The sequence below is a fragment of the Homo sapiens genome, chromosome 9 (assembly GCF_000001405.40).
Source record: "Homo sapiens chromosome 9, GRCh38.p14 Primary Assembly".
In the NCBI taxonomy this organism is placed as follows: domain Eukaryota; kingdom Metazoa; phylum Chordata; class Mammalia; order Primates; family Hominidae; genus Homo; species Homo sapiens.
This window is the reverse complement of record NC_000009.12, coordinates 111,396,330-111,423,834: the sequence shown is the minus strand read 5'-3', so window position 1 is coordinate 111,423,834 and position 27,505 is coordinate 111,396,330. Positions and strand designations below refer to the sequence as shown.

The 27,505-nt window shown below is 37.8% G+C and overlaps 1 protein-coding gene and 1 pseudogene across 11 annotated transcripts in view, besides 1 other annotated feature; both read left to right on the top strand.

The window, feature by feature from the left end:
• ECPAS (Ecm29 proteasome adaptor and scaffold) overlaps nucleotides 1–27,505 on the top strand; it is a 123,699-nt gene that overhangs the window by 60,549 nt on the left and 35,645 nt on the right. For 10 of the 11 annotated variants that reach the window (NM_001363756.2, NM_001364929.1, XM_047423107.1 and 7 more), the window contains 13 exons: nucleotides 587–636; nucleotides 1,635–1,701; nucleotides 1,792–1,914; nucleotides 3,715–3,818; nucleotides 5,829–5,952; nucleotides 7,483–7,563; nucleotides 9,184–9,406; nucleotides 9,849–9,940; nucleotides 11,687–11,821; nucleotides 12,693–12,855; nucleotides 13,622–13,794; nucleotides 15,163–15,264; nucleotides 26,682–26,805. In NM_001363756.2, the coding sequence (NP_001350685.1) occupies nucleotides 587–636; nucleotides 1,635–1,701; nucleotides 1,792–1,914; nucleotides 3,715–3,818; nucleotides 5,829–5,952; nucleotides 7,483–7,563; nucleotides 9,184–9,406; nucleotides 9,849–9,940; nucleotides 11,687–11,821; nucleotides 12,693–12,855; nucleotides 13,622–13,794; nucleotides 15,163–15,264; nucleotides 26,682–26,805 (1,561 nt within the window). The remainder of the gene's footprint in view (nucleotides 1–586; nucleotides 637–1,634; nucleotides 1,702–1,791; nucleotides 1,915–3,714; nucleotides 3,819–5,828; nucleotides 5,953–7,482; nucleotides 7,564–9,183; nucleotides 9,407–9,848; nucleotides 9,941–11,686; nucleotides 11,822–12,692; nucleotides 12,856–13,621; nucleotides 13,795–15,162; nucleotides 15,265–26,681; nucleotides 26,806–27,505) is intronic. The other variant, XM_047423109.1, reaches the window with a different exon arrangement.
• On the top strand, nucleotides 12,093–12,191 carry RNA5SP294 (RNA, 5S ribosomal pseudogene 294; annotated as a pseudogene).
• Nucleotides 23,966–24,492: an enhancer, noted in NCBI's record as "H3K27ac-H3K4me1 hESC enhancer chr9:114161623-114162149 (GRCh37/hg19 assembly coordinates)". NCBI's record gives its function as "activates a minimal SCP1, AML or CMV promoter by ChIP-STARR-seq in primed H9 embryonic stem cells {active_cell/tissue: H9 hESC(primed)}" and the evidence as "EXISTENCE:reporter gene assay evidence [ECO:0000049][PMID:30033119]".

The window sequence follows — 27,505 nt, the reverse complement described above, 5'->3', positions numbered from 1 at the left end:
TAAAACCATGTAAAACTCTATCTGTATCTTGAGGAGAGAACCTCACTAATTCACCTGGTGATTATGACCCTCTTAATTTTTTATGGTAGAAAATATGATAGAAAGCTGTTCATTACAGTGTAGATTTTTAGAAGATCACACTACAGTTTATTGCAATTTTGGTGAGAGACGGAGGATCCTAGTCTGTTGGACCGGTGATGTATTTTCTAATGAGTTAATGTTTTTTAGTGTGTTGAAGATGAACTTTGGTGTTTGGAGGTTACATAGTGTTGAAATATCTTGAACTCAGCACCAGCTAAGAGAAACCTTTCATATCTATGACCACTGCATTTTCTTTTTGGAGCGATTGGGGATGCAAGGTTTTGTCTTGTTTTTCCTTTTAGTTAGTGTGATGGATTCTGGGTTTGGACATTTTTGTTGTTGTTCAGGTGCTAACACCATGTAGTTAGACAGAGTGAGACCTAGGTTTAATAAGGAGTAAAATAATGCATGTAATTGCAGCGAAAAGGTTTTACTGTTTACTGTATTTTTTGTTTTGTCTGTTTTTTGTTCTTTCTTTTCTTTCTTTTCTTTTTTTAATTTCAAGGACCCTAAACTACTGTCAATGGCATATTCAGCTGTTGGAAAACTCTCCAGGTGAGTAAACTCTTTTTTAGTGAGAGATATGGTGTTGGTAAACAGAGAAAAATTATGTGGCATTTAATAATGGCGGAGAATAAATTTGTCGTGATTCTGAAAGGGAATGTATTTAATGGTCATAGGTTGTTTAGAAATGTCTTCTGTGTAGAAGGAAAAAGATGTGAGACATTTTAATTTACATTTGAAGGTATGTTACTGTATTAAATGGTGGTCTTGAAATGAGAGTTTGAACTTAATTGTGTCATAATGGGTTACTTTTTTTGTACCCTAGAGACTTTTGATTGACCTTAAGTGTTTTTGTTGCTACTTGGCACTAATCTTTATAAACCCAGTGATCAAGGTTTTTCTAGTGATTCTCTTTTCTGAGAATGGTGTTTATGATTCTGAGTGGCCCTGACAGATTTTTTTTTCTTCTCAATGTGATTTCCTCATTCCAGTTCCTCCTGGCTTCATCTTCCTTCACTGTATTTGAAAGCAGGGAGATAGAGATGAAGCATTCTCAGTGGCACCATGTGCTGCTTCCACGCCCAGTGCAGGTTTTGTGTTGGCCTGTGTAGACCAGGTCTTGCTCTTCTCTACAGTGAAAGGAGCTTTGGGGTTTGGAAGAAAGCCACCCCAGATCAGTGGATATAGTGCAGGGTTGTCAGCCAACCTTGTCCCTTGTCTGTTGGCATGAAGTAACAAAGCCCCTTTCCACGACAGTCATTAGTTTAGATCACAGTTTGGTCTTACCTAATTTCTTCATGTTAAAATCAGAAATGTTAACTGAATGCATGGAATATTATAGAGGGGATATTTGGAAGATGTGCGTGTTAATCAAGGGTTATTTGGATTAAAGAATTAAATACTTGGAAAAATTTTTGGCTCTCAGAGCGGGTAATGATGCTGACATTGTCTTCAGAGAGTTCAGGAAAATTTGTGTTTAGTTTCATTTTTTCCCTTTTTCATCTCTTGGAAATTTATGATAGTAACAATATTTTTACATTCTTTTGCAGTCGGATGCCACATTTATTCACTAAGGATATAGCGCTTGTGCAGCAGCTTTTTGAAGCCCTTTGCAAGGTAGGGAAACAGCTGCTAAGTTTATGCTTTGTGTTTGGATGTTCCCCTGGGAACCCAACAAGGAGGGAAACATTTTTATCATCTTTATAGGAAGAGCCTGAGACTCGACTTGCTATTCAAGAAGCTTTATCTATGATGGTTGGAGCGTATAGTACTTTGGAAGGGGCACAGCGAACTCTCATGGAGGCACTTGTGGCTTCGTACTTAATAAAGGTAGGTCCGTGTGAACTACAAAGCCTGGGTAGTATACGGTTTACATTTTTAAGAACAAAATTTGAATTGCTACTTAACTTTTGATAAGAGGAGTATTTGCTTTCACTTGGGCTGTGATTTAGGATCTATTTTTAATTCTTCATGATGAAAATTTGACTTTAGGGGAGAAGGAGTGGTAGTATTCATAGCGATGCTTATGTTTAGAGCTTTCCATGTGGGAAAACTATTCTTAATGCCATGTCCTCCGAGTTAGAAGTGTTTTGTCTTTGTAACTGGTAGCTGAGCACTACTGTCCGCTGGGGTAGAGTTTGATAGGTAACATTTTCAGAGAAAAGCAGAAGGGATGAAAGACAAATTCCATATGTCAAAGTGAGTCTTTAGGAAGTGAGCCAGTACTATCATACATGCTCTTCTTCCTCTTTATTTGGTTTTCATGGGAATTTGTAGGAGGATTTTGAATATCTGTAGATACACACACACACACACACACACACACACACACACACACACATATATGTAATATGTAATATATATTTGCTTTAGTCAGTTCTTTGTCCCACATTTTTAGGAGTAGAAAGGGAGATTGGAAGACAGAATGATACTAAAAAGTGTCAGTCAGATTAATATAAATTGTGTCCTAATGGAATTAGACTGACATGATTTAATATTTTGAGGGAATTTTAAATGTTCAGAAAGGTATCTGCTTCCTATTAAAATATGACAGGGTTAAATGTGCTATTATATACATTCAGAAAGCTTACTATGATGGAGTCCTATTGTCAAGTGCTCTTAGTGTGCAGTGCATGTGGTTCATGGTCATATGTTATGGACAAAGGTGTGTAGGCGTATTTGGAAGCTCATTAGAACAGAATACTTTAAACTTTCTCTAGGTAACTTTACAAGGAAGTGTGATGCTTGAATAAACACAGATACTGGTTCTACGCACACAGATCAAATCATGTAACACTATTACCAAGACAAAGCTAATTTCTTTTCACAGACAACATTTAAAGCAACCAAACTCTAGGTTAGTTATGTAATTTAGGCTAGTCTTTAATATCCTCACTCTTTAATGTAGTTCAAGGACTGCTAAATAGCAAGAATGCCAGAATGAGTGGGACAATATATATATTTTTAATGTCTCTCTTATTTCACTTATGTTTGTGGCTAGAGGAGTGACCTGGGGAAGGTACGTAAGAATAAAGCTTCAGGATCAGTAGATTCTAAAACTACTTTTCTGGTTGAACTTTGTAGTTACAGATTATTAATCTTAGTTAATTGAATATATTTCTGTAGTTGAAACTGCTTTGAGCTAATCTGAGAAGCTCAATTTGAAGTATTTAGCTTCAAATTGGTGGGGATTCCAAGTAGGCTCTGTTTGTAATTTCTGCCAAATACCTGACTTTCACTCATGTGACTGACAGTTTGAGAGTTGGGGTGGCGGAGGTGATGGCTAGAAACTGTCACAGTGACCGTGGTCCCAAGGTTTGGGCTGAGGATGCGCAGAGATTCTCTAGTTATGGTCCTTGGAGGTCTTCCTACTTCACCTGGAGGATCCTCTAAAATTATAAGAATACTCTTTAAGTAATGCCACCATCCAAAAGACTTAAACAACATGATTAAAGATCTTGAACAAATGATTTATTTAATTTAGATACACGTTTATTAAAATGTCACCTTAGAATTTTGAATTGTTTACAGTTAGGAAGACTCATCTTGATTGGAATGAATGGCTGGTAATTGATTTTTTTTTTCCTTTTTCGGATCGGGGTGGTCTGTGTATGTTTACACATGAAATAGCCTGAAGTTCAAGTTCGACAAGTGGCTGTGAAATTTGCCAGTACGGTGTTTCCCTCAGATCATATCCCTTCCAGATATTTGCTGCTACTGGCTGCAGGAGATCCGTAAGTTTCAAAAGGTGTTAATTTGAATTTTGGTTTATTTTGAATTTATTTGAAAATTACTAAAAGTTGTATTGTTTACAATGTTGGTCTATGAAATTTAGAAGCTATTTATTAAAGAAAGTATGGCTCTTGATGTGATATAGACCTGTACTCATATACCTATATATTTATATAGTAATATAAATATTACATGTATATATCTATATAATATACATTATGTAGATATATATGTGTAATATATGATATATAGCTAATACAGAAAATGGTTATGAAATGGTCAAGTGTAAATAAAGCAAATTATATGATTGCGTGTGTAATATAATTATATATCTAAAAACAAGCCCTATGTAAGGAGAAAAAAGGCTGATGTTGATGGTTTGACATATGTATTAATATTTTATTAAATATGGAGTATCATTTTATATCTAATATATTTTTAAATGAGGTATAAGTTGCATTTTATATTAATGAATTATACTACTGCATTTTCTAGAGTGTGTAATGCTTTTTAAAAGAATGTTTAAATGGTTTTGAAATTGGGACATGCCTTTAAAAGTCATGTACATATAATGAAATATATGTGGACATATTAAAACAACTCTTTTCAAATCTGTTATATGTCTTACAGTCAATGCCATCTTAAAATCCATGCAGCATTCTAATCTATTTCATAATAAACCATTACTACATTTAACGTTTAGAATTTTTGCATCCCTTAAGTGAGATTCTTGTATATGTTTTTCTTTTTTGTTATCAGGGATAGCCTTATTTGGGGAGATGAAAAGCTTCATTTATTCTGAGGAATAGTTTAAATAAAATTATGCATTCTGTGATGATTTGAACACCCTTGCCCATAAACTTTTATGGTCCATTTTTTAAAAATGGGTAATTCCTTGATAACTGTTTCAGTGTTCTAGTTGGCCAGCTGTGTGCCCCTCATGCCATTTATTTTCTTTACTATAAGTTGTATATATTTTGCTGTTATTTATTTGGTTGGTATTTTAATTGGACATCACAAGTTATTACCAGGTGCTGGTTTTTGACTTCTGATCTTGGCTGCTGCTTCTCATAGAGCACATTTCAATCTGGTTAAAGTGGCTTTGGATTGTTAATGTTGATTCTGGTGCTCTGTTGCTTCTTAATTTTTTTACGTTAGTTTCCCAACCAAGGCCAGATGTACTGGGGCCTGGCAGCCAAGGTGTCAGTTCATGTTAGAGCAAGGATTTAAGTCTAGGGAGTTGGACTTCCAAATAGAGCTCTTAACTGCTGTATCTTACTCTGTAAGTGCTGAAAATTGTTTTTGTTTAAGAAACCAAAAACAAAGCATAACTAATTCAACAGTTTTCCTTCTTAGGTTAGAACCATTCAGGTCAAATGAAAATCCTCTGACAACTTAAGGAATTATTTATTAATTCTTTCTTTTCGGCCCTTTATGTGTTGTTTGGAAAATGAGACACAATCAGAGGCAATTGAAGAATTAAAAGGCCTTTATGTGGTATCTGGATAAGACTATTGCTGAGATCAGTCTCTAGGTGGTCTGAAATTGGTTGGGTTTATATTTTTACACTTTAATGTCACTTATGAGTTATTAGTTGTACAGAATTGTAGCTGAATACATAGAGATGTAAGACTTTGGGTGGAGTGTGTAGACCACTGGATAGTCACTGACTTCTAAAATATGTATTATAGTTGTTTATGGTTTAACTCTACGAGGTAAAGCATACACATAGATATTTACATAATAATTTACTTAAAGTACCCTATCTTGTTTTTTAATGTGAGTCAAATTCAAAGATGTAAGCCAGATGAGTCCCCGGACCTCATGCAATTTCTGAAAAGAAGTGATTTCTTATAATGTGTTATGTTGACTCTGCTTAGATAGCCAAGAATGTATTTAAGACATTTTCTGAGAACTCTAGCTGCCAAATAAAATTGCTGTTCTTATTCTTCAAATGATCATTTCCCATTGGTGACATTTATTTTTTATTCTTATTTGTCTTTTTCTGAAAGACGTGAAGAAGTTCATGGAGAAGCACAACGCGTATTAAGGTGTCTTCCAGGTAGAAACAGAAAAGAAAGTACTTCTGAGCAGATGCCTTCCTTCCCAGAAATGGTTTATTACATCCAAGAAAAGGTATGGCATGCAACTTAAGGTAATTAGTCTAAATCATAATGGATGATGAAAATAAAAACATCTTTAAAGTGAAAAATGTAATCACTAGATGTTGACTCATAAAATTTCTTTTTCTTTTCTTTTCTTTTTTTTTTTTGAGATGGAGCTTCGCTCTTGTTGCCCAGGCTGGAGTGCAATGGCACGGTCTTGGCTCACTGCAAACTCCACTACCTGGGTTCAAGTGATTCTCCTGCCCCAGCTCCTGAATAGCTGGGATTATAGGCGCCTGCCACCAAGCCCGGTTAATTTTTTGTATTTTTAGTAGAAACAGTGTTTCACCATGTTGGCCAGGCTGGTCTTGAACTCCTGACCTCAGGTGATCCACCTGCCTTGGCCTCCCAAAGTGCTAGGTTTACAGGCATGAACCACCATGCCCAGCTGACTCATAAAGTTTCTAGCATTAATACTTACAATAAGAAGAAGATACAAAGTGAGGAAAAAAAATTGTAATCCTCACCTGTAATTGATCTGTTTTGCCTAAACTTGAATTACTTATAATTCCTTTCATGCTTGGCAACATTTTGGCTGTGTTAAATATTTTTTCCCTTAATATGACATGCTTAAAAATACATCTCCTTTTTTTAAAATTTTTTTATTTTTTTTTGAGACAGGGTCTTGCTCTGGTCACCCAGGCTAGAGTGCAGTGGTGTGGTCTCAGTTCACTAAAACCTCCACGTCCCAGACTCAAGTGATCCACCCTCCTCAGCCTCCCGATAGCTGGGACTACAGGCGTGCACCACCGTGCCTGGCTAATTTTTTTATTTTTTGTAGAGACAGAGTTTTGCTATATTGCCCACGCTGGTTCTCCTTTTTATTTTTAAGGGCACGCTTTAGGGTAGTGTAAGTTTAAGGATGCTTCAGGGAACAGTTCATGTTCTTCCCACCGTGTTCATAAGAGAGCATCCCATCTGCTTTTGTAAGTTTTTGCTTTTGCACAGTGTTTTCTGCTAGTAGATCCAGGATATTGGCAGTAATGACCATCCACCCCCTCCAGGCCTTGACTCTGTCCCACTTTGCCGGAGGACACCTTCCTACCTTTTACCTCCACTGGTGATCCTAGCTCTTTGCTAGGTAGGCACCTTAAGGGAGTTGAAGGTCAGTATGCAGCGGCCATGATTCTGTTTTCCACATAGCAGCACAGTCTATTTGTGGTCAGAAGATTCTCTGCTTGTAGTTTCCTCCTACTTTGATTATTAATGAAAATAACTGGCATGCAGTGACCTGAGATGACCATATTAGTAGATGTCTGGAATAGGTTTATTATTTTTAAACAAACCAGAACAAACATGGAAAAAGGGCAATACACTTGTCTTTTAGTGTGTGAGGGACATGCACGATCAGCATGGTTAATAGGAAAGTGGAAAATGTTTGATCAGAAAAAGAAGCAAACTTAGGACATGTAGCTAGAAACACAGTTGTTTTTGAGTTGAGGAAGGGCAGGTATGCTTCATTTTTCAGTAATTGTGTCTGTTTTGGACTTTTTAAACTTAGGCTTCTCATCGAATGAAAACTCCAGTCAAGTACATGACCGGGACCACTGTCCTTCCATTTAACCCAGCAGCCTTTGGAGAGGTAGAACTTTCATATATTTCTATTTACTTTTTGTAAGTGTTCTAAAAAGATCACACCACACCCAAAGAGGGGTCTGTCATTTTGTTGTGTTTTAGGTAAACCCATATTGTGGTGTCATTGTTCTTCATCGGGTTGTTTATTTAAAAAAAAAGTATTGGGAAATTGGTATTATTTTAATTCATAGTGAAGTATGTAAATATATTTATCTCAGTGAGATTCTTTTTGTGAAAAAACTGGATGTTCTGTAGTGATTACTATTGGGATTTTGCAGCAAGTTAGATTTGGGTTTTAAAGCCAACCTGTTGTTGAGGTTGTTAGGGTTATTTAGTTTTGAAGGTTGGAGAGGATTAAATTGATCACACTTATTAAGGGAAATTCTGTTTTTTAGATTATTGACTTGCTCTAGGTAAATTACAAGAGGTGATCTTGTTCGGATTAAGAATATTCACAGTGAATTTGCTGCCTATCCTATTTTAACGATCAATGAAAAAGCTTCCAGAGGATGGACTCCTTGGCAGCCTGTTTATGTAAGGGTTGTTTTTTTTGTTTGTTTGGTTTTTTTTTTTTTTGAGAAGGAGTCTCACTCTGTTGCCCGTGCTGGAGTACAGTGAATGGCGTGATCTCGGTTCATTGCAACCTTGCCTCCTGGGCTCAAGTGAACCTCCGTCCCAGTCTCCTGAGTAGCCATGACTACAGGCGTGCACCACCACCCCTGGCTAATTCTGTTATCTTTTTGGTAGAGATGGGTTTCACCATGTTTCCCAGGCTGGTCTTGAACTCCTGAGCTAAAGCAGTCCTCCTGCCTCAGCCTCCCAAAGTGTTGGGATTACAGGCGTGAGCCACTGTGTCTGGTCTATATCAGAGGTTTTTATGGTGTTATATCTATTTTTCTGTAGATGAATTGAACCCATTTTCTCAGATTCTTGTGTCAATGGAGTAAACACAACTGGAATTCTGCAGGAGTAATAGGCCATTTACTTCAGATTTCTTTCCTCTCTCTCTGTCTTTCTCTCTCTCTCACACACACACACACACACACACACGGCTTTTAAAAAATAATGATTTTTATTATAATTTTTAACTTTTATTTTAGGTTCGAGGGTACATGTGAAGGTTTGTTATATAGGTAAATATGTGTCATGGGGGTTTGTTGTATATACTATTTCATTACCCAGATATTAAGCCCAATACCCCATAGTTATCTTTTCTGCTCCTCTCCCTCCTCCCACCCTCTCTCCTCAAGTATACCCCAGTGTCTGTTGTTTGCTTCTTTGCGTTCAGAAGTTCTTATCATCTAACTCCCACTTATAAGTGAGAACATGTGGTATTTGATTTTCTGTTCCTGCGTTAGTTTGCTAAGGATAACAGCCTCCAGCTCCAATTTCTGACTTTAAAAGTTCAGTTTGTATTTTAACAATCTTAAAAAATTCTTTGGATTTGCAAACCTTATTATACAAATTTTGCTCCATTATGGCATATTTTCTGCCTTCCATGAGGATTGGAATAGCTTTATAAAGAAGTGTGGGTGAATCAAAACTAGAAATTGTTACTTTGAAGAGTACCTTCCCACACTGACTTTTCGAGAAGCTTATGCAGTCTTCCTCTCCGTTCTGTTTGTAGATCGTTCTGTACTTGCGCATGTGCCTTGCGCACAGTGCGGGGGTGGTGCCCACCTCTCAGAGTTTGGCTGATATGCAGGATCATGCCCCAGCCATTGGGCGCTACATACGGACTTTAATGTCAAGCGGGCAGATGGCACCCTCATCATCTAACAAGAGTGGGGAGACTAACCCTGTCCAGATCTACATTGGCCTGCTTCAGCAGCTGTTAGCAGGTGTTGGAGGTAGGAATATGTGACGCGAAGGAAAGATACTGAAGCACTTAAGCAAAAATCTAATTTTAAACTTTGCTAAGAATTTATAGCAAAATTATTCTTTTTCTTCTGTAACTGAACATTAGCCTTTGTTTCTTTTTAAACTTACCTGATTCATTCTGGATACACTACTTCTTTTTTCGGAAAGAAATGCTAACAATAGATAAATACATTTTTACTTCGGAAGTGGATGTGAAGAACAGGATATCCTTTTTATAGATAGCTCATCTGTAAATTTGCTGTAGTGAATCACATACTATATTTAGGTTGTGTAGGTTTTCTTTTTTTTTTTTTTAATAGAACCGAAAGAATGTGTGCTAAAGCAGTGGCCTTATACTTTAAAGGAATTTAGTGATCCCTGTATGTTCATTACTTTTCTTGAAATTTAAGGTGATTCTGAATTCTTATTTAGGTTTGCCGGTTATGTACTGTCTATTGGAAGCTGTGTCAGTGTATCCAGAAAAGCTGGCTACCAAATTTGTAGACAAAACAGAATGGATAAAGGTATGTTCTGCATGTACCTTTTTTTAAAAAAAATTCTATTTCAGACCTTAACTTCATGATTTCTTTTTCCTGCCAGCGGGATCCCTATGACCTTTTCTGCCTTTAGGTCGTTTTGAAAACTCTCTTATCATCAGACACTTACTGGGAAGCATGTAGGTCACTATGTCTCATTGACACATCTGGAGGAGATTGGGAGATGAATTGAGAAGCATAGGAGTAAAAAAAAGTTCCTTTTCTGTTTCAAAAGTTTTTTTTTTTTGAAAAAATAAGCAATAGATTTGTGTAGTTTAAATAAAAACTATGTAAAATGTCTCCTTTCCGTAACCATCTCCAACCTACCCAAGCCTTCTAATTTTTGTCCTTTCCTCTCCCCTCTGACAAACATATATAAGTGACCACTTATATATGGCATGCTTTCTAGAGTTTACTTATGTACATACACATAAAAACATGCATTTAAAATTTTTGTCCCATCTTTTTATCAAAAGCAGCATACTATTCATACTGTTTTATACATTCTTTCACTTAATAGTAGAGAACTATTCCACTACAACTATGGAGAGAGCATCTTCTTTAACAGCCTCAGTTTTTATTGTATGAATGTACTATCATGTATTCTAGATCTTTATAGATGGTCATTTAGAGTACTTCCATTCTGCTGCAATGAATAATCTATCATCTTGCATATTGAGGAAGTATATGTTTTAGATGGATTCCCTAGAAGTGGAATAGCTGTATCAGAGGACATGTGTTTTTGTAATTTTCATAGGTAATGCCACACCCTCCGTGTGTGGTACCAATGTACACTTCTAACAGTCATGTATGAGGGTGTCCCTGTCCCATGGCCACACCAAAAGGGATGCCAGGTTTGGAAAATAAAAATACAAGATACTCAGTTAAATTTGAATTTCAGATAAATAATGAATAATTTTTTTTTTTGTATAAGTGTTGGCCCATACAGTTTTCTGTATCTCCATGTGCTACATATTGCGGTTCTTTTTTTGGAAAATACAGCTTGAATGATGGTAAAAATGTAAAAATTATGTCTTTAAGTGTGAAAACATGAATGAAATTTGCCAGGAGGTGTGAGTTTTGCACATTTCTGGATAGTCTGGTCTTATGAAATTGCTTTTAGTTTAAAAAGGTTTTTTTATTTCTTATGAATATTGACTGATTTTAAAATGATTTTATTGAACTTTGATGTTTTAGATGAGAGGTTGTCATGCTATAGTCAAAGGTCCAAATAGGGCCTGCCTCCTGTTTTTGTATGGTTTGCAAGCTAAGAATGGTTTTTACATTTTTAAATGTGGAAAAAAAAATCAAGAAACGAATAATGTTTCATGACACAAACATTGTCGTGTCCATGTTTTACTGGAACCCAGCCACGCTCATTCATTGTGTATTGTCTGTTGCTGCCTTTGTACTGCAGTGGCAGAGTGGAGTAGTTGCAGCAGAGACCAAATGGCCCATAAAGCCTTTTTGTTTTTTTACAGAAGTTTGCTGACCCTTGTTTTAGATCATCTGTGAATAAATTTCACCTGTTTTGTACTTGTGTATCTTTGACGAAAATGGACCTAAGATTTTGTTATCTAATTCATTCAGCTTTCATTTTGTTTTCAAATAATGGCTTGTTTTTTTCTCAATATCCATCAACAGATTGAACGTTCTTTTAATTTTAAAAGATGTTGTCATCAGGCACGTGGTTCTGTGTCATGTATATATTTGTTTTTTTTTTATACTGCTCAGAGTCTGATGAATAACAGTAAAGAAGAAATGCGCGAACTGGCAGCGTTGTTTTATTCTGTAGTGGTATCAACAGTGTCGGGGAATGAGTTGAAATCAATGATAGAACAGCTTATAAAGACTACAAAAGACAATCACGTATGTTATTTTGTTTTCATTCTTTTTTGTGGGAGATAGGGTTTTATAAAAGGATCTAACTTATTTTTGACTTTTATGTTCTCATTTGTAAAATGAACTTACAAATTCCTTGCTTTTATGACCATAAAGAGTAAATGAGATAGGTGATACATTGGTTCAGTCAGCTCACTTAACAGATACGGGTGCTGTGTCTGATAAGCACTGTTTTAGGTGCTAGGAGTACAGTGATTCATAAATACATGAGAATCCCTGGTACAACAGGATGCTCAGAGCCTGCAGCCGTACCACCGTGAACACACCTAATCTCATCTGATCTTGGAAACTAAGCAGGGTCGGGCCTGATGAGTACTGAAAGCGAGAAATGTTAGCTCCTTTTTTCTTCCTCATCTACTGCTGCCAGTGAAAAAACAAGTTTTACTTCACATAGTTTGTTGGTTACCTTGTGTTTGGAGGTTTTGGCAATTAGAAATAGGATCTGTTTATTGTCTTTTGTTGGCAATAGGAAGACATTATGTGTGAAAGTTATGATATTCTAGTTACATAAGTGCTGTAAGCTGGAAAGTGGCGTGGGAGCATGTAGGAGCATGTAGGAAAGTCATCTCACCCGGAATTGGAGTGGGCATGGAATTACAGAATGTAAATCTTAAAGTGAATCAAGATTCAGCTTCTCAAAATTCCGTTAGAAACTCAAGGTTTCTCTTGTTCCCTAAGCTCGATGCATTAGCATCCAGTGAAACCTCGAGTGTTCACTTTATTCTTTAGCCTTATGTTTTGTTGGAGAGATGATCCTAATCGACACACAGTTACTGCCATGTATTCTTGCGTATATGAGAGAGAGCCAGAGATATGCTATTGTTTTTGCTAAATTCAGAGCCCGGAGATACAGCATGGATCCTTGCTTGCATTGGGATTCACGGTGGGAAGGTATTTGGCTAAAAAGAAAATGAGAATGTCAGAGCAACAAGACCTGGAGAGAAATGCTGACACCCTCCCTGATCAAGAGGAACTCATTCAGAGTGCTACAGAAACAATAGGTAATTAATGTCTTTATGTCGATTTGGGTGTTGCAGTTTTTGAATTATGTTAAATTTTAATATGGCGTTTCAGTTTCTTTTTATGGCATTGTATTTGAAAAGACACAAGCTTTTTCACAAAAAACTTACTTGATAAATAATGTATTTTTAGTAACAACGAAGGCTGGGTGTGGTGGCTCATGCCTATAATCTCAGTACTTTGGGAGGCCAAGGTGGGAGGATGACTTGAGTCCAAGAGTTTGAGACCAGTCTAGTCAGCATAGTGAGACCTAGCCTCTACAAAAAAATAAACAAAATTAGCTTGGTATGGTGGCGTGTACCTGTAGCCTCAACTACTGAGGAAGCTAAGGTGGGAGAATCACTGGAGCCTGGGAGGTCCAGGCTGCGGTGAGCTGTGATCATGCCACTGCACTCCCGCCTGGGTGACAGAGCTCGACCTTGTCTCAAAAAACCAAAACAAACAAAGCAAAAAACAAAGCAATGAAAGCACTCTATTTTTTTTCTCTACATTTTTTTCCTACATGTTTTTATAAACAGAGATGATCCTATTATGGGAACAAATTTATACATTAAAAAAATACTACTCTATCCCCTGTTACCATGTTGTCTTTCCACTGAATAAATGTTGGCAAATTGTCAACTAGAAGATATCGTACACTTTGATTTTATTTTGCCGTCTTAAAAAAAACCTTGAGTACATCACTGGTTGCTTTGGGTCGTAAGGATAATGGTATGTAATTCTCTTTTTGGCTAAATGTGCTTACAGGCTCATTTTTGGACAGTACATCACCCCTCCTGGCAATTGCTGCCTGCACAGCCCTGGGTGAAATTGGCAGAAATGGTCCACTTCCAATCCCCAGTGAGGGATCTGGCTTTACCAAATTGCATCTTGTAGAAAGCTTACTAAGTAGAATACCTTCCAGTAAAGAAACAAATAAGGTAAGTTTTTTTCTTATTTTTTCCCTTTCTGGAATTCGGTCTTTCTATGCATACATGAGCAAAAACAGATTATAATGAGAATAGATGGCATTACAGCTGGAGGAAGGATTTAATGTAAAAATGGGTGATAAAGAAGCAAGTCTTAAGTGTTTACTTTTGAGCTAGAGGTTATCTGTGTACAATCTTAGTGTGCACATCTTTTGGCCCAGTCATTCCAATTTAGGTCTTTATAACTGTTAAGATTTGAGTGAAGTATTAAATTCATCAGGAAATATCTTTTGTCATGCAAAAGGTGTATAATAAAATGTTAAGTAATTTTGTGATTTTTTTTTTATTTTAGGCCAAATATAAATCCTAACCTCCTAAAGCCAGTTTTGTGATCAAAACACCTCAATTTTGAGGTGTAAGATGATTTAATGAGCAGAAATATCAGTTTACTACTACAAGTTTAATTGATATAATCTTTTTTTTTTTTTGAGATGGAGTTTTGCTCTTGCTGCTCAAGCTAAAGTGCAATGGCGTGATCTCGGCTCACTGCAACCTCCACCTCCCAGGTTCAGGCAGGTGATTCTCCTGCCTCAGCCTCCTGAGTAGCTGAGATTACAGGCGCACGCCACCATGCCCAGCTAATTTTTGTATTTTTAGTAGAGATGGGGTTTCACCATGTTGGCCAGGCTGGTCTCGAACTCCTGACCTCAGGCAATCCTGCCTGCCTCGGCTTCCGAAAGTGCTGGGATTACAGGCTTGAGCCACCGAGCCTGGCCTAATTCCTATAATCTTAATCTTGGTCTAGCTACTGTTTAAAACTTTCTGAGAAGATATACAGTATAGTTTTTATTAGCTATTAACTAATCATTGCCAAACATTGTTAAGCACTTCTAATGTGCCGGAGAGTATGTTAAGTGCTTTGCATGCATTGATTGAATCTTCTAAAAGGTCTAGTGAAATAGGCACAGTTGTCATCTCTATGTGAGATAACATGAGGAAACAGAGTCACAGAGGGGAAATAACTTGCTTAAGGTCGCACACCAGTATAGGCTGAAATGGTTGAGATGTGATTTGGTCCTAGGTCCTCTGGGCCCAGAACCCACATTTTAAATCGTTATAGTTTGAAAGGTAATAAGCCTAGTTAAAGGCTTTCTTCCTTCTTCTTTTGCAGCTGTGGATCCTTAGTGGACTCACATTTGTGTGTTTCTACCTTCAATGACTTACAGACATACGACTGTAAAATTTGATGCTTTTGTAAAAACTTTTGCGTTGATGTGTTAGATAGACTGCGCTTCCCTGTCATCTCATTTTGGAAATACTGCACTGGGGTAAAGCTATTATATACTCTGTTTAAAAGAAAAAAATTTGGTGTTCTTCCAGATGAAAGAACGAGCAATCCAAACACTGGGATATTTTCCAGTTGGGGATGGAGATTTTCCTCACCAGAAACTCCTCTTGCAAGGTCTGATGGATTCTGTGGAGGTATTTATATTGCTACCTGATTGTTAGTTATTCAGAGAAAAGGCATTGGTCTTTTTTTTTTTTTTAGGTGCAGTTTTGCATGCTGTGAGATTTTTAATTAAGCATTTACTTGTTTATTCACCAGATACTTGAGTACTAGTTTTGTGCTCATCACTGTGCTAGGTATAGCATTGACTAAATCACCTATGAGGGAAAGACCTTTTCTTAAAATTTTTGAGCAAAGTGCGGTGCAGTGTGGGTAGAAGGGGAAACATATCCACATAGCCCGTCAGCCAGATGTGTGGAGTGAGCCACTAAAAAACAGTAGTTCTTGAGTGTTTCAGTTGGTATTTCAGTTGTTTTCAAGTCTGATGATTTAGCTTCTGTCCTCTAGATGCCTAGTGTGTAGTGGAGAAGACCTACAAGTAGGCAAATGCCAAGATACTGTACTAAGTATCTCAGCATGGCCTGATCTGGCCCTGCTTTTCCTAGCCTTGATTCATGACATTCACTCACTTTCTGTATACCAGCCTCTTTGGCCGCCTTGCACTGAGCTTTTGAAAGCCGCCTACTTCCTTCTCGGCTTGTTGCTGTGCTCCTTGAAAAGCCTTCCCTGACCCATCATACTAGGGTAGATTCTTTAGTTACTTGTGCCATCATGTCTCTTGTTCTTTTTCTTCACAGCATTTATCACAGTTTCTAATGGCCCACCAGACTGAATGCAGACTCTGTTTTGCTTACTGTTGTAAAACAAGTGCCTAGCAGTGTGATTGGTAATAGTAGGACCTCAGTAAATATTGGCAGACTAAGTAACCGGATGAAGAGACATTTGCATGTAAGGCAGTAGAATCACAAAGGAAGGTGTAATTCTATCAGGAAGAGTTAGTGTATGTCTTTGGAGGAGAGGTTTCTGCTGGGCCTTAAATGATGGGAGGGAGAAGAGATAATTGAGGCTAAGGGCTGAGGCACCCGAGTAAGAGAGTTGCTATTAGTCTGGATTCTGAATTCAGTATTTTTAAAGTGAATTTTTTTAGACAATCTACGTCTCCTGGGATGTCATTAACATTGTAACCACTTGGAGAGAAACTTATGATAGTGGTTTTCTCATCTTTTTCCTTTTTTGAATCCCTGAGTGAGGTGGGTTTCTTCTAGGTTTTTTTTTTTTTTTTTTTTTTTTTTTTTTTTTTTCTGAGATGGAGTTTTGCTCTGTCTCCCAGGCTGGAGTAAAGTGGCGTGATCTTGGCTCACTGCAACCTCCACCTCCCGGGTTCAAGCGATTCTCCTTCGTCAGCCTCCTAAGTAGTTGGGATTACAAGCGCACGCCACCACACCTGGCTAATATTTGTATTTTTAATAGAGACAGGGTTTCACCATGTTGACCAGGCTGGTCTTGAACTTCTGCCCTCAGGTGATCCGCCCACCTCGGCCTCCCAAAGTGCTGGGATTACAGATGTGAACCACTGCACCCAGCCTGTTTTGTTTTTTTTTTAATGAAGGCTCGTCTGGATTCTTAACTTACTTTTAATGCCATTATTTTAAGAGTTTAGAAATACATGAAAAGCTAGAAATATGGAAATAAGGTAGAGAGATTAAATGATGAGAATAATGAAAAGCATGAAACGGAAGCAGAATATCTTCACAGTCGAATAGGACACAGTGCTGAAGGTTTTTTTGGTTTCTTTTAACTGTTTTTATTTTTTATTTATTTTATTTTTACAATAGGATCTCATTCTCTCACCAAGGCTGGAGTACATTACATCTCCCAGGCTCAAACCATCCTCCCACCTCACCTCCTAAGCAGCTGGGACCACAGGCATGCGCCACCATGCCTGGCTAATATTTTAATTTTTTATAGAGACAGGGTATCCCTGTGTGGCCTAGGGTGGTCTTGAACTCCTGGGCTCAAGTGATCCTCCCACCTGGATCTCCCAAAATGCTAGGATTACAGACATAAGCCACTGTGCCTCGCCCATTTTTAATTTTTTAAATTGATACAAGCATACAATGTGTAATGATCAAATTAGGGTAATTGGGATATCCATCATTTTAAGCATTTATCATTTCTTTGTGTTTGGAGCATGTCAGATTTTCCCTTCTTGCTATTTTGAAATATACAATAAATTCTTATTAACTATTGTTGCCCTGTTGTGCTGCCAAACACTAAAACTTAATTTTTGTAACTGTATTTTAGTTCCCATTAGCCAAGCTCTCTTTCCCCGTTCTCCAGTACCTTTCCTGGCCTCTGGTAACCACCATTTGTTCACTACTTCCATGAGATCAGTTTTCTCACATACAAGTGAGAACATAGGATATTTGCTCTGTGCCTGGCTTATTTTTGCTAAATATAATGTCCTCCGGTTCCATCTATGTTGCCGTCAGCAACAGGATTTCATTATTTTTTATGGCTGAATAATATTCCATTGTGTATATATACCACTTTTAAAAAATCCATTCATCTGTTGCTGGACACTTAGCTTGATTTCTTGTTTTGGCTATTGTTAATAGTGCTGCAGTAAACATTGGAGCACAAATACCTCTTCAGAATACAGATTTTCTTTCTTCTGGATATATACTCAGGATACATACTGGGATTGCTGGGTTATATGATAGTTCTATTTTTAGTTTTTTGAGGAACCTTCATACTGTTTTCCCACCAACAGTGTATGAATGTTCCCCTTTCTTCACATTCTGACTATCAGCTGTTGTTTTCTGTCTTCTTGATAATGGCTGTTCTAACTAGGGTGAGATGAGATCTCATTGTGGTTTTTCTCTGTATTTCTATCATGATCAGTGATGCCAGACTTTTTGTTGTATACCTATTGGCCATTTATATACCTTTTTTTGAGAAATAACTGTATTCAGATCTTTTGTCCCTTTTCAAATCAGATTGTTTATTTGCTATTGAGTTGAATTCCTTACTTATTGTGTATTTTAATCTCTTGTCAGATGGATAATTTGCAGATATTTTCGTCTATGCCATAGGTTGTCTCTTCACTCTGTTGGATGTTTCCTTTGCTGTGCAGAAGCTTTTTAGCTTGATATAATCCCATTTGTCAATTTTTGCTTTAGTTGTCTGTGCTTTTATGATCTTGAGAAATCTATGCCCAGACCAGTATCCTGAAGTGTTTCTCCAGTGTTTTTTTATAGTAGTCTTGTAATTCAGGTCTTAGATTTAAGTCCATTTTGGTTTGATATGGTGAGACAAAGGGGCCCAGTTTCATTATTCTACATGTGGATATCTAGTTTTTCCAGCACAACTTATTGAAGAGACTGTTCCTTCCTCAATATATGTTCTTGATGCCTTTGTTGAAAATGAGTTGACTGTAAATCAGTAGATTTATCTTTGGGTTCTCTATTCTGTTCCATTGGTGTATGTGTCTGTTTTTATGCCAGTTTCATGCTGTTTTGCTTACCATAGCTTTGTAATATATTTTGAAGTCAGGTAATGCAATGCCTCTGGCTTTATTCTTTTTGCTCAGTATTTCTTGCTCATTATTCAGGGTCTTTGGTGGTTTCATAGCAATTTTAGGATTGTTTTTCTAGTTCTGCTTTGATGAACGTCATTGATATTTTGATAGGGATTATATTGAATCTGTAGATCGTTTTTGGTAGTATGGAAATTTTAATAATACGATTTCAATCCATGAACATGGGCTATGTCTTCTCTTTTGTGTGTTCTTTTTAATTTTTTTCATCAATGTTTTATAGTTTTCAGTACAGAGATCTTTTGCTTCTTTGGTTATAATTTATCCCTAGGTTTTTTTTTTTTTTTTTTTTTGGTAGCTATTATAAGCAGGATTGCTTTCTTGACTTCTTTTTCAGATTGTTTGCCGTTGGCATATTAGTCTGTTCTCGCACTGCTATAAGTGGGTAACTTATAAAGAAAACAGGTTTAATTGACTCACAGTTCTGCAGGCTGTACAGTAAGCATGGCTGGGAAGGCCTCAGGAAACTTACAATCTTGGCAGAAGGCGAAGAGGAAGCAGGCATGTCTTACATGGCAGGAGCAGGAGAAAAATAACAAAGCGGGAGGTGCTACACGCTCCCTGTCAGAACAGTAAGGGGGAAGTCCACCCCCAAGATCCAGTCACCCCCCCACCAGGCCTCTCCTCCAACATTGGGGATTACGATTCAGTCATGAGATTTGGGCAGGGACACAAATCCAAAGCATATCACATATAATGCAACTGTTTGTATGTTGATTTTGTATCCTGTAACTTACTTTATCAGTTCTAATAATTTTTTTGTTTATCTTTTAAAGAACCCAGTTTTTCATTTCATTAAACTTCTGTAGTTTTTTTAGTCTCAATTTCATTTACTTCTGTTCTGAATTTTATTATTTCTTTCCTTTATTAATTTTGGGTTTGCTTTGCTTTTGCTTTTCTAGTTCTTTAAAGTGCATCATTATGTTGTTTATTTGAAGTCTTTGTACTTTTCTGTACTTTGTACTTTTATTACTATAAAATTCCCACTTAGCACTGCTTTTGCTGTATCCCATAGATTTTGGTATGTTGTGTTTTTATTTTCTTTTTTATCAAGAAATTTTAAATTTTTCTTTCTTAATTTTTTCATAGATCCATTGGTTGTTCAGGAACGTGTTGTTTAATTTCCATGTATTTCTGTAGTTTCCAAAGTTCTACTTATTACTGATTTCTAGTTTTATTCCATTATGGTCAGAAAAGATACTTGATATGATTTGGATTTTTTTTGAATTGCTTGAGACTTGCTTTGTGGTCTAACATATGGTCTATCCTGGAAAATGTTCCATGTGCTGATGAGAAAACGTGTATTCTATAGCAGTTGGATGAAATGTTCTGTAAATGTCAGGTCCATTTTGTCTAGAGTGTAGTTCAGTTTTGATTTGGGTTGTTTGATTTTCTGTCTGAATGACCTGTCCATTATTGAAAGTGGGGTGTTGAAGTCAGTCTTCAGCTATTATTGTGTTGCAGTCTGTCTCTCCCTTTAATAAATCTATTATGCTTTATACGTTTGAGTGCTCCAATAGTGTTTGCATATATATTTATAACCTTTATATGCTCTTGCTGAATTGAGCCCTTTATCATTATGTAATGACCTAGGTCTTTTTCTAGTTTTTGACTTGAAATCTATTTTATCTGATGCAAGTATAGTTACTTCTATTCTTTTTTGGTTTTCATTTGCATGGAAGTATCTTTTTCATACCTTTACCTTCAATCTATTTGTGTCTTTATAGGTGAAGTCTTTTTTTTTTTCTTTCGGAGATGGAGTCTCGCTCCATTGTCCAGGCTGGAGTGCAGCAATCTCAGCTCAGTGCAGCCTCCACCTCCTGGGTTCAAGAGATTCTCCTGCCTCAGCCTCCTAAGTAGCTGGGCCTACAGGCACAAGCCACCATGCCCAGCTAATTTTTTTTTTTTTTTTTTTCAGTAGAGATGGGGTTTTGCCATGTTGGCCAGGCTGGTCTTGAACCCCTGACCTCAAGTGATCTGCCCACTGTGGCCTCCCAAAGTGTTAGGATTACAGGTGTGAGCCACCGTGCCCAGCCAAAGTGAATTTCTTGTAGGCAGCATATAGTTGGTCTTGTTTTCTTATTCATTGAGCCATTCTGTATCTTTTAATCAGATAAGTTAGTCCATCAACAGTCAGTTTATTATTGTTAGGTAAAGACTTAACTACTGCCAGTTTGTTTTTTGTTTTCTGGTTGTTTTGGAAGTCCTCTCTTTTTTTCTTTCTGTCTTCCTTTGTGGATAAATGATTTTTTCTCATAGTATGTTTTACTTTTTATTTTTAGTTTATCTGTTTAGACTTTTTTGAGTTGTGGTTTCCCTAAGGGGTTCAGAAAATATAACAAGTTTGATGACAACTTCACTTTGATCACAAGAAAAGAACAAAAACAAGCAAAGAAAAAACTTAAAAACTCTGTTTTAATTCCAGTACCCCCATTTTTTGGCTCTTTGTTTTCTCAACTTGTATCTTTTTATATTGCCAGTCTTTCAACAAATTGTTGTGGTCATTATTTTTGAAAAGTTTATGTTTTAGTCTTCATACTAAAGATTCTATGGAGTATTAGATAAGGATACTGAAGATACTCTAATACAAAGATACTCTTAATACTCCACAATATTAGAGTATCTTTAAATGCAGTATTAGAGTGTCTTTAGTATCTTTAGAATACTCTATAAAGTATTAGAGTATTTTGAATTTGTCTGTGTATTTACATTTTTTGTTGCATGCTAGAATTCTTTTCTTTCAGATTGAAGAACTGTAGCATTTTTTGTAAGACACATCTGGTGGTAGTGAATTCCCTCATCTTTTGTTTACCCAGGAAAGTCTTCATTTATCCTTTATATTTGAATGTTGTGGGAAGTCAGGGACCCCAAGTGGAGGGACCGGCTGAAGCTGTGGCAGAAGAACATAAATTGTGAAGATTTCATGAACACTTACCAGTTCCCAAAATTAATACTTTTATAATTTCTTATGCCTGTCTTTACTGCAGTCTCTGAACATAAATTGTGAAGATTTCATGGACATTTATCACTTCCTCAATCAATCCTCTTATAATTTCTTATGCCTGTCTTTACTTTATCTCTTAATCCCATCATCATTGTAAGCTGAGGATGTATGTCAGGACCCTGTGATGATTGTGTTAACTGTATAAATTGTTTGTAAAACGTGTGTTTGAACAATATGAAATCAGTGCACGCTGAAAAAGAACAGAATAACAGTGATTTTCAGGGAACAAGGAAAGATAACCGTAAGGTCTGACTGCCTGCAGGGTCGGGCAGAATAGAGCCATATTTTTCTTCTTGCAGAAAGCCTGTAGACAGATGTGTGAGCAGGAGAAGTATCACTTAATTCTTTTCCCAGCAAGGAATATTAATAATTGAGACCCTGGGGAAGGAATGCATTCCTGGCGGGAGGTCTATGAATGGCTACTCTGGGAGCGTCTGTCTTATGTGGTTGAGATAAGGACTGAAATATGCCCTGGTCTCCTGCAGTGCCCTCAGGCTTGCTAGGATTGGGAAATTCCAGCCTGGTGAATTCTAGTCAGACTAATTGTCTGCTCTCAAACCCTGTTTCCTGCTAAAATGTTTATCAAGACAATGTGTGCACAGCGGGACACAGACCCTCATCAGTAATTCTAATTTTGCCCTTGCCTTGTGATCTTTTATTGCCCTTTGAAGCATGTGATCTTTGTGACTTACTCCCTGTTTGTACACCCCCCTCCCCTTTCAAAATCCCTAATAAAAACTTGCTGGTTTTGCGGCTCAAGGTCGCCATCACGGTCCTACCAATATGTGACGGCACCCCCGCAGGCCCAGCTGTAAAATTTCTCTCTTTTTACTCTTTCTATTTCTCAGACCAACCGACACTTAGGGAAAATAGAAAAGAACCTACATTGAAATATTGGGGGCTGGTTCCCCTGATATTTGAAGGATAGCTTTGCTGGGTACAGTATTCTCAGTTGCAAGGATTTTTTTCTTTCTTTCTTTCTTACTTTTAGCACTTTGAATATGTTATTTCACTCCCTCCTGGCCTGTAAGGTTTCTGTCACCAGACGTATCAGAGCTCCTTTATATCTTACTTGCTTCTTTTCTCTTGGTACTTTGAGGATCCTCTCTTCATCCATGACCTTTGTGAGTTTATTATATGCCTTGGGGTAATCTTAATTGGATTGAATTTTCTTGGTGTTCTTTGACCTTCTTTTACCTGGGTGTTCATCTTTTTCTAGGTTCTGAAAGTTTTCTTTTGATTATTTCTTTGAATAAACTTTCTAACCTGTTTCTTTCTCTGTTTCCTCTTTAAGGCAAATAACTCTTAGCCTCTTTGAAGCTGTTTTCCAGATCTTGTAAGTGTATCTCATTCTTCTGCATTTTTTTCCTCTGACTGTGTGTTTTCAAGTAGCCTGTCTCAGAGCTCACTAATTCTTTCTTCTACTTGATCAGTTCTGCTGTTGAGACACACTGAAGCATTTTTCAGTCATCCATTATATTTTTCAGCTCTAAGATTTGATTTTTTTCCCCCATTTTAATCTCTTTACTAAATTTCTCTTATAAGTTTCTGAATTCCTTCTCCATGTTTTCTTGAAGTTGTTAAGCATTCTTAAAACAGCTATCTTGAATTCCCTGTCTGAGAGGTCACATATCTACACCACTCCAGGATTGGTCACTGGTGCCTGCTTAGTCTGTTTGTTTAGGGTGAATGTTTTTTCGAACATGTTTTCTCAAATGTCCTCGATGCTTGTGAACATTCGTCAGTGTTTGGGCATTGAAGAGTTAAATATTTATTCCAGTCTTCACAGTCTGGCCTTGTTTGTACCTGTCCTTCAGAGGGCCTTCCAAGAATTCAAATATGACTGAGTGTTGAGTTCCCTAAGCCTGTGGTCACTGCAGTTGTTTCAGCACTAGAGGGCACCCTAAGCCCAGGTGTGCTGCAACTCTTACAGATACCTAGATACCCAGCATTGATGGACTTGGGGAAGATAAGGGAACATTCTCTGGGTTCCCAGGCAAAGTTTCTTGCTCTCTTCCCTCTCTCTCCCCCAGGTAGAGGGAGTGTCTCTCCACAATAAGCTGCCTGAAGTTAGGGGAGGGTAATGTGGGCACTCCTGTGGCCACAGCAGCTAGCACCATGCTGGGTTACACCCAAAGCCCATGGCCTCCCAGACCAGCACAGTACCAGGGCTCACCCAAGGCCTGTGGCCACCTGACTGCCGCTGATGCTTTTTCAAAGATGAGGCTGCTTTAGTCAGCAGGTGTTGGAGCCAACCAGGACTTGGGACTTAGGTTGTTCATGCCACATGAGCAGATTCCCTTCTTGCCTGGGGTGGGTCTAGAAGTGCTCTTCCACAGCAGCATCCTGGAAGTGGGGCTTTCGGACTCTGCCTGGTCCTTTGTTTTATTGTGGGTGGGCTGGTGCCTGGTTGCGAGACAAAGTCTTCTGTATTTTTGCTTTTCCTCCCTCCAAGTGTGGTCTAGCCGCTGGTGAAATTTATTTGTGGGCCTGAGGCCATTTTAGTCAGCTGACTTGGGTTCCTCTCAGTGAAGAAGCTGATTCCCCTCTGGCCCAGATTTGGTCTAAGTGCTCCCTCCTTGGGCACTGGCAGAATTCTGCCTGATGCTGTGACCGGGTGTTACTGAGTTGCAATGTGAAGTATCACACTCATTTTGCTCTGCTTCACCCAAGCACACAGGTTCTCTTTCCAAGCTGTGCTGCCTGGGACTCGGGGAGGGGTGGTATAGGCAGTGTGTACTTCCCACTCTATTCAGTCAGTCTCCTCTTGTTATTATGCTGAAGCCAGGTACTGTGATGTCTCACCTGATTTAGTTTTTATGAAGGTGCTTTTTTGGTGGATAGTTCAGTTTGATGTTCCTGCATTAGATGGGGAGGGGATGAGATTCTGTTGGGCTTTTTTTTTCTCAATTTTAAGTTTTTGTAGGTACATGGTGGGTGTATATATTTATGGGGTACATGAGGTGTTTTGATACAGACATGCAATGCTTAATAATCACATCATGGAGAATAGGGTATCCATCCCCTCAAGCATTTCTTTTGAGTTGCAAACAATCCTATTATATTCTTTTAGCTATTTTAAAATGTACAATTAAATTATTATTGACTATAGCCACACTAGTTTGCTATCAAAGAGTAGTAGGTCTCATTCATTCTTTTTTTTTTTGAGACGGAGTCTCACTCTGTTGCCCAGGCTGGAGTGCAATGGTGCAATCTCAGCTCACTGCAACCTCCACCTCCTGAGTTCAAGCGATTCTCCTGCCTCAGCCTCCCAAATAGCTGGGATTACAGGCTTACACCACCATGCCCGGCTAATTTTTTTATTTTTAGTAGAGACGGGGTTTCACCATATTGGCCAGGCTGGTCTTAAACTCCTGACCTCAGGTGATCCGCCCACCGTGGCCTCCCAAAGTGTTGGGATTACAGGTGTGAGCCACTGCACCTGGCCTGAATTCATTCTTTCTAACTATTTTTTTGTACCTGTTAACCATTTCCACCTCCCCGTTCAGCCACTTTGCCCTGCCGCCTGCTCCCTCTTGTAACTTTTTATTATAGGAAATTTCAAACATACACAAAAATAGAATAATAATATAATGAATCCCCATGTATCTGTTCATATTTTCTCTATTGAACCCCCCTTTATTTCTGGATTATTTACAGCAATGTCCAGATAGTATATTATTCATAAATGTAGCTGTGGAGTTTTGTTTTTGTTTTTCATGCCAGCTGTGTTGTTATTAACTACAGGAAACATGCAAAAACAGGTACAGGTACATAAAATGAACCCCTAATAAGGATTATGTTGAAATACCTTTTTTCAGCTTGAAGTTGCCAAGAGAAGCTTTTAACCAGGGAAGCTGTAGGACTAAAGCCTTTAAATCTTTTTTCCTCAGACTAGGAAGCTTGTGGCATTAGTACGTGATGCCTCATCACAACTAGAGCGTTTGTTGATTGGCGTAGGAAAGTCTCAGCTGTTGTCTTTGTGCTTTGAAGAGTAGCGTGTTTATAGCCCTCACATGCTGTCTGTTCATTCCCTTATTTCTCCTTTTCCTCCTAAATTTCTTCCGGTTCACAGTAAAAAGTGGAAAATGCAGGTCTAGGTAGTTACATGTTGGGTCAGTGACTCCTACTAGTGAATCATGTCAACATTTCTGAATAAAATTTTAAAACACTTGAGTGGGTACTATATAGAATTTTCTAATGTTTGACTTTTGAAATGCTTTCAAACTTACAGTGAAGCTGTAAGAATAGTGTAAAGAACTCCTGTGTGCCCTTTATCCAGATTTACCAAATTTTAACATTTCACATATGCTTTATTATTCTCTTTTTTCTGAGCCACTTAAAAGTAACATCAAGATATCATATAATTTAAGAGTGCAAAGAGTTAAATAATTGTTAAATAAATGTTAATAAAATATAATGGCTACTATTTATTGTGGAGTAACCACAATCAAGCATCCTATATAATAGTTTTATGTACATTAACCTCATTTAATTCTTAAAGCCTAATGCTGTGGATGACGATATTATGCCCCTTTTACAAATGAAGTTTTTGAGGCTCATAGAAGTTTAAATAAGGGTTTATAGGTGGTGAGAGATAGCTAGAATTTATATTGAGACTTACATGGCTTCAAAGTTGATGGGGTTTTCTGTCTTCCTTAGGTGAACCATATTATGCTTCCAGAGATCATAAATCACTGCTTAGTGGTTCTCTACTGAGGGTGAGGAGGGCAGCAAAGACTTTGAAAAATATCTTCAAGGGATTCTTATATCCTCCACTCCCTCACCATCCCTGGCCTTTGAGCCATTGAATTAGCCGAAAGCAAACTAGGGCAAAGAGTGAAAACAAAACATGCTCAGAACCACACTTTTAAGCAGGCTTTCTGTAGAAATGGATGTTTTTGGGAAATGTGTTTTCTCATTCATGGTTTTTACTTCCTTCGTTGCAGGCCAAGCAGATAGAACTTCAGTTCACTATTGGCGAAGCCATTACCAGTGCTGCAATAGGAACTAGTTCTGTGGCTGCCCGAGATGCCTGGCAAATGACTGAAGAGGAATATACTCCACCTGCTGGTACCAAATATTCAGCTAATCGATTTATAATGATCAAGTAACCTTTTTTTGTTCTCTTTATCACATTTGAGGCAAAAACATTACACATTCCATATTACTGTTTTCAAATATTTATATCTGTTTTACCAATTTCATTCAGTCAAGAAAAATAGTTGAGTGAAGAAGACAGCATGAGGCTGGGCACAGTGGCTCATGAGTGCCTGTAATCCCAGCACTTTGGGAGGCCGAGGTGAGCGAATCACCTGAGGTCAGGAGTTAGAGACCAGCCTGGCTAACATGGTGAAACCCCATCTCTACTAAAAATACAAAACTTAGCTGGGCGTGGTGGCACAAGCCTGTAATCCCAGCTACTCGGGAGGCTGAGGCCTGAGAATTTCTTGAACCTGGGAGGCGGAGGTTGCAAGTGAGCTGAGATTATGCCACTGCACTCTATCCTGGGCGACAGAGTAAGACTCTGTCTCAAAAAATAAAAAGCAGACAGCATGAAATTAGTTAACTTCTTTTTCTGACCCTTTGGCAAGCAAGCAGGGGAGTCAGCTTTGGATTACCTTGAAGCTTGTGCTCTTTTCACGAGGATTTATGTATTTAGCCAGTTTCAGAATTCAAGGTATAGTTGTTTCCAGATGATGTGTCCTCTAATCCTTTATTACATAATGAAGCCTCAGTGCCTTCTGCTAGCGCTCTAGGTACACTGGCTTTT